Source organism: Homo sapiens, chromosome 20, assembly GCF_000001405.40.
Source record: "Homo sapiens chromosome 20, GRCh38.p14 Primary Assembly".
NCBI classification, from domain to species: Eukaryota; Metazoa; Chordata; class Mammalia; order Primates; family Hominidae; genus Homo; species Homo sapiens.
In genome coordinates this window covers 7,660,247-7,666,711 of record NC_000020.11, presented here as the reverse complement: position 1 = coordinate 7,666,711, position 6,465 = coordinate 7,660,247, and the positions used below count along the sequence as shown (strand labels likewise).

Genomic DNA, 6,465 nt, shown 5'->3' with positions numbered 1-6,465 from the left:
GCTGAGGCAGGAGAATGGCTTAACTCTGGAGGCCGAGGTTGCAATGAGCAGAGATCGCGCCACTGAACTCCAGATTGGGTGACAGAGCAAGACTTCGTCAAAAAAAAAAAAAGTACAAAAATTAGCCGGGCATGGTGGCACGCTCCTGTAGTCCCAACTACTCCAGAGGCTGCGGTATGAGAATTGCTTGAGCCCGGGAGGCGGAGGTTGCAGTGAGCCAAGATGGCGCCACTGCACTATGGCCTGGGCAACAGAGTAAGACTCTGTATCAAAAATAAATAAATAAACAAATGCAACAAATAATTAAATACATAGTATATCAGAATGACTTGAAGTGGGGCAGGGGAATCATTAGAACCAGGGATGGGGCAAGATTACAATATAAAACAATACATCAAAGAAGGCCTCTTTGAGAAGACATGATTTGAGCAGACTTGAGGGAGCTGAGGGAAAGACATGCCAGAGGAAGAAAGAGTTATTCGCGGGTGCTTATATTGTTATTTAAAATAATTCCTGTCAGCACCGCAAATTTCAGGTTTACCAAATAATTGGTCTATCATTTTTAAGTTTTGAATATTGGCTGACCAGAGGAGAATTATTTTGAGAAAAAAAAATCTTGAAATGGAAAAACAAACAAACAAACAAACAAAAACACTCTGAAGAAGACATATTTCATCCTAACACAATCCGGAGGGCTAAATTAATAGAAAGCACGTGTCTGAGACAGGTATCCTTTCCTGAAGACAACGACTGTGACCCTGACAGCACTGTAAACTCTTCAAGAGTCGTAACAAGGCAGAAAGACACCAAGTTAAATGGTGATGAATTGAGTCGCTAAAAATAGATCTTAAAAAGTTGAAAAAGTAAGAGGCTCTTTATAAAACCTCTCTTGAAATTTACAATCAAGAGTTGCTAACTCATCTTTATGGCATTTCTCTTTAATGGATTATTCAGAAGAAATTGCCTGCAATAGCTGAAAGTCCAGATGGGCTTCTGTTAAAATCCCCTACTGTGCATTCATTGCTGTAGATGGCTTCCTGTCAGAATACTGTGTAAATTAGCAGCCTGATGTTCTAAGACTGGGTTAAGTGGTCTGTTTCAGACGGGGAAGCATTTATGGCATGAAAATACAAATGCTTAAGTAATCATAAAAGTATTCCATTTTCTGAGGCTAATTTTACATTAACACTTGGCCTATCATATAGCTCATCAGGTCTTCCCTTGTAATCAGGAAGGCATGTGTTCCTTATCATAGAAAAGCATGGGGGCAGTTTGTAATCTTTTTCGTGAAAAGAATCTTGTAGTAAGATGGGGAAGGAGGTTAAGAAAACAATAGATGTGTCAATGTCATTGGAGGGTATACATCTGTAAACCATTCCCTCCTGAAATGTTGGAAAGATTGCAATATAAATACAGCTCCATCACATATTTTCCTTTTGTCTAGCTCCTCTGTTGTCTGGAGTCTCGTGAGATGAAATGCGCACCCCGAAACGCATCCCCTACGAATCACAGTGGGAGAACATCACACTATTTTGTGGCCCTGCTTGCTCTATTTTAGCCTCTGGTATTTTTTTTTTTCTGCAGATGCCAGGTCTGGTTCAGGGATGAAGCTCAAAGTTAAAACCAAATCGATTGCATACACAGGTGGTTAGACTAGAATGTGTTTGAATCTGAAAACCAGAAAAATGCTTTATGTTAGAATGCTTCCAGAAAGTCATAGAAAAAAATCTTCAGGGCAAAATGATGCCAGCATAAACAATCGTGGATTGCTTCAAATGCAACTGACCCTTTTGCTGTTCATTCCTTTTATACATCTACTGTGCTGTCTTTCAAGTTAAGTACAAAGCAGAAAAAGTGGAGTATTTTGAGTACGAAGGAAGGTTAGTTATACTGTCTAGGCATGAACATCTAGTGTCAATGATTAGTTTCATGTTCAAATTACAAAGATTTTATACAAATTAACAGTGATAGGGTCTCATATTCAAGTGCCTATATGGGTTATACAGGTTAGACAAACCAGTGGTTTTAAGACAGTTGGGATTGGTATAGCCTGTGGCATACTCAAAAGCCCAGCCATCACCGAAATAGGTCAGCTACAAATTGGTTGCTTTGTGGAACTATGAACCCAGTGTTGGCAGATCTTTTAAAGAAGAAACAATAAGGGCCTGGTGCGGTGGCTCACGCCTGTAATCCCAGCACTTTGGGAGGCCGAGGCAGGCGGATCACGAGGTCAGGAGATCGAGACCATCCTGGCTAACATGGTGAAACCCCATCTCTAGTAAAAAAAAAAGAATACAAAAAATTAGTCGGGCGTGGTAGCGGGCGCCTGTAGTCCCAGCTACTCGGGAGGCTGAAGCAGGAGAATGGCGTGAACCCGGGAGGCAGGGCTTGCAGTGAGCCGAGATCAGGCCACTTGCACTCCAGCCTGGGCAACACAGCAAGACTCCGTCTAAAAAAAAATAAGTTAATTAAAAAAAAAAAGAAACAAGAAATCTGATTCTGTGCATGTATGTACATGTGTGTAATTTTCTGTGAGTTTATTGCTTTATTTGACTCTCAGGCAGCCAGATTGAAATCATATACCCATGGCTGTATTAAAAACCCTTTATGGTCTTCGTGTCCCACCCACAAAACCCCGATTGATTAAGAGTTGAGTAGGCAGGCTAATAGTTGCAACAAATTTAACACATGATGGGCTGAGTTTTATATTTCTTAGTAAAACTTCAGTTAGTTATCTTTCTGTAGAGAAATAAGAGTTCTTTTTAACAAAGCTAATATTTTTATAAGTAGTATTTAAAATTAATTGTACATTTCAAAAAACAGGAGTTAAAAAATAATCTTCCCAAAACCTTTGGTATCTTAGATCTCAGAATTTTTTTTTCTAAAGGTGCACTAAAATTCCAATGGACTTAATATGATAATTTAGAGTGCAGTTTAGCAAAAGTAAATTGTAATTATTTGTGTTCATCTTGAAGATAATAGTAATACGCTTGAGATTCAAAAGGATATGGCCACACAGACTACTAATGACTCACTGGGTAAGGACAATCTAAGCTTTCCAGAGCAAAGAGATATCTCAATTTAGAAGAGGTCATCAATAAGCATATGAAAGGATTGAGCACTAGAGGAACCCCCCAAATACAGATCCCAGAACTTGCAATGATCCAACCCCAGGACTGTGCTCAGGAGGCTCAGCAATGTTAATGGAGCCCCATGAAAAGCAATGGAGAGCAGTAGATTCTGAGGATTCCTAGCTCTGCCATAACTCATTTGATAAGCTCATTCAATCCTAATTTTATTTATTTATTTATTTATTTATTTATTTATTTTTATTATTATTATACTTTTAGTTTTAGGGTACATGTGCACAATGTGCAGGTTAGTTACATATGTATACATGTGCCATGCTGGTGTGCTGCACCCATTAACTCGTCATTTAGCATTAGGTATATCTCCTAATGCTATCCCTCCCATCTCCCCCCACCCCACAACAGTCCCCAGAGTGTGATGTTCCCCTTCCTGTGTCCATGTGTTCTCATTGTTCAATTCCCATCTATGAGTGAGAAGATGCGGTGTTTGGTTTTTTGTCCTTGCGATAGTTTACTGAGAATGATGATTTCCAATTTCATCCATGTCTCTACAAAGGACATGAACTCATCATTTTTTATGGCTGCATAGTATTCCATGGTGTATATGTGCCACATTTTCTTAATCCAGTCTATCGCTGTTGGACATTTGGGTTGGTTCCAAGTCTTTGGTATTGTGAATAATGCCGCAATAAACATACGTGTGCATGTGTCTTTATAGCAGCATGATTTATAGTCCTTTGGGTATATACCCAGTAATGGGATGGCTGGGTCAAATGGTATTTCTAGTTCTAGATCCCTGAGGAATCGCCACACTGACTTCCACAATGGTTGAACTAGTTTACAGTCCCACCAACGGTGTAAAAGTGTTCCTATTTCTCCACATCCTCTCCAGCACCTGTTTCCTGACTTTTTAATGATTGCCATTCTAACTAGTGTGAGATGGTATCTCATTGTGGTTTTGATTGCATTTCTCTGATGGCCAGTGATGATGAGCATTTTTTCATGTGTCTTTTGGCTGCATAAATGTCTTCTTTTGAGAAGTGTCTGTTCATATCCTTTGCCCACTTTTTGATGGGGTTGTTTGTTCCATCCTAATTTTAAATGCAACAAAGTCTGCATCACACTTTTTAGAAGATATGGAGAGACCTGTCACATTTAGATCATTATCAAATTAGTTTTAAAAGAGCTATGATTTTGGTTGAGAATTAGCCCTGGAAATAAATTATCTAGGTATTGAACTAAGAGTTTTTTTAAGAGCATGTTTAATTGAAACAGTCTAGAATCAGTGCAAAAATTTTATTCTGACTTGACCCAGCATTAATCATTACCTGGGTAGGATCTCTAATCTCTATATTCAGCCTTGTGAATAAAAATAAAGGCAGCCCCTATGCTAATTTCTCTGCCTTAACACAATGCTGCTTCTTACTCCTGCGACACTTGAAAGTAACTTAGCAAATCTTTATTTTGAGGAATATTTCCTGACATCTATTCAGAGGTCACCAACAATATGTAAGTGAAGGGAAGAAATAAGTGGCACATATGGAGAATGAAAAAGATAACTAGCAGAAATCCAAGACCATTTCCCATTTGGAAAGAACAACTTCTGCTATCAAATAGATTGGATCACATAATTCTGGTTGGTTCCTGCCAACTTGTCTTTGTTTATATTTAAGGAAATATGGGAAGAGTTACTAAATTAGCTAGAAAACCACTGGGTATAGGCCTCAGATTTCTATTATCTATAAATATTTATCAAGCACATGCCATATGTAAGGCTCAGTGAGGAATGTGGCTATGGTATTGGCTACTGACATTGCACTCTGGAAGCTCTGAAACTAGAGGGGAAGGTGGAAACAGCGTGCAGCAAGTTTGCTCTTGAGAATATGGCTGAAAAGTGCTTTGACGGCTATAAAGATAGACTTCACAAGGTGCTGGTGGAGCTTTATGATGGAGATAAAGACCTTAGGAAATTACTGAGGAGGAGAAGATGGCGAATCTTCATGGAAGGGTGGACATAGTGAGTGATGCTTCTCAGACTGCAGAGTGGCTTGGCATTGCCTGCCTTCACTGGATGTCTACATGATGCACATTGCCTTAGCTCCAGTTACAAATGTTCTTTCTTCCACCCCCACATACTGTGAGGTCTCCTACACACTATGAATATCATTATAATTTTTTAATACTATTAAAAAATTCTGTTTTTGTAAAAATATTGTTTTGTAAAAAACAATTCTGTTTTTGTAAAAATATTTGCCTTTGCTCTTTGCAGAAACTTGCTGAAATAAACATCAAAGGAATGCTTGAAATTGAATAGAAATCACAAAAGGGTATCACATGAAACCTGGGTTGTTTGTTTATGAGGTGTGTGAAGTGTGTGTGTGTGTGTGTGTGTGTGTGTGTGTGTCAGAGAGAGAGAAAAAAAGTGAGAGAGATAGAGACTAATTTTGTAACTTTAGAGCCAGTGTTCGGTAACATTTTCTCACTTGGAACTTCCTTAATATTTTTTGTAGGCACATAAACTTTAGACCTTTTTTTGTAGAGGAGATTATCTAGTGCAAATAAGACTGCTTGAGTTCCAATACATGCTCCCTTACTTATTAGGTTTATTACTTGTGCAAGATACTTAACCTTTCTAGGATGCAAGTCAAAGAATAACTCAGAAAATTATAATTAATTTCTGAAATTTATATATAATTTTGTACTTACAAATATACTAATAAGAGAAAAGTAATTAGATGATTGTCAATGGAAAAAAAGGAGGGATCATAAAAGAGGAGCAAATGGAAAGGAAAAATTACAAACAGTCTGGTAACAGTAAATCTTGCTTCTGTAATTTTGTTTTTGTCAATATAGTTGATCTTCTGGCAGCAGCAAAGAGGCCACTTGGTCATGGGAAGTATGTCTTTGAGTAGGCTGGCCAGAGTCATTGATAGCCATAATTTCAGTTGTTGATGTATTCTCAATGGTCCTACCATTCCCCAATCTCAGGAAAAAAAAAAAAAAGCTTGAGAGCTAAGCTGTAGCATACACACGATGGACCATTTTTTGTGTATTTTTCTGTTGTTAGTACTTCTACATTAATTAAACAAAGGCTTGTACCATGTTCTGCATCATTATTCCTTGCTCAGTTTAGTCAGGTATCCAATAAAGTTAATACAGATCATGGGTCTTTTTGTGAGGCTTACATGAGATATTGCATGCAAAGCCCTGACAATGAAACTTGGCTCAAAATAAAAAGTTAGTAAATATTATTGCATCATCATTATCATCATCATCACCGTTACTGAAGGATCCTGATTTAGAGCGCACACAAGAATTATTTCAATATGCCAAATCCTAGAAAACATTCTGCTATAGTTCCCATTTCTTGTCTAAA

The 6,465-nt window shown here is 38.1% G+C and overlaps 1 annotated feature.

Annotated features, from left to right (window-relative positions):
* Nucleotides 813-1,314: an enhancer, noted in NCBI's record as "NANOG hESC enhancer chr20:7646045-7646546 (GRCh37/hg19 assembly coordinates)". NCBI's record gives its function as "activates a minimal SCP1, AML or CMV promoter by ChIP-STARR-seq in naive H9 embryonic stem cells {active_cell/tissue: H9 hESC(naive)}" and the evidence as "EXISTENCE:reporter gene assay evidence [ECO:0000049][PMID:30033119]".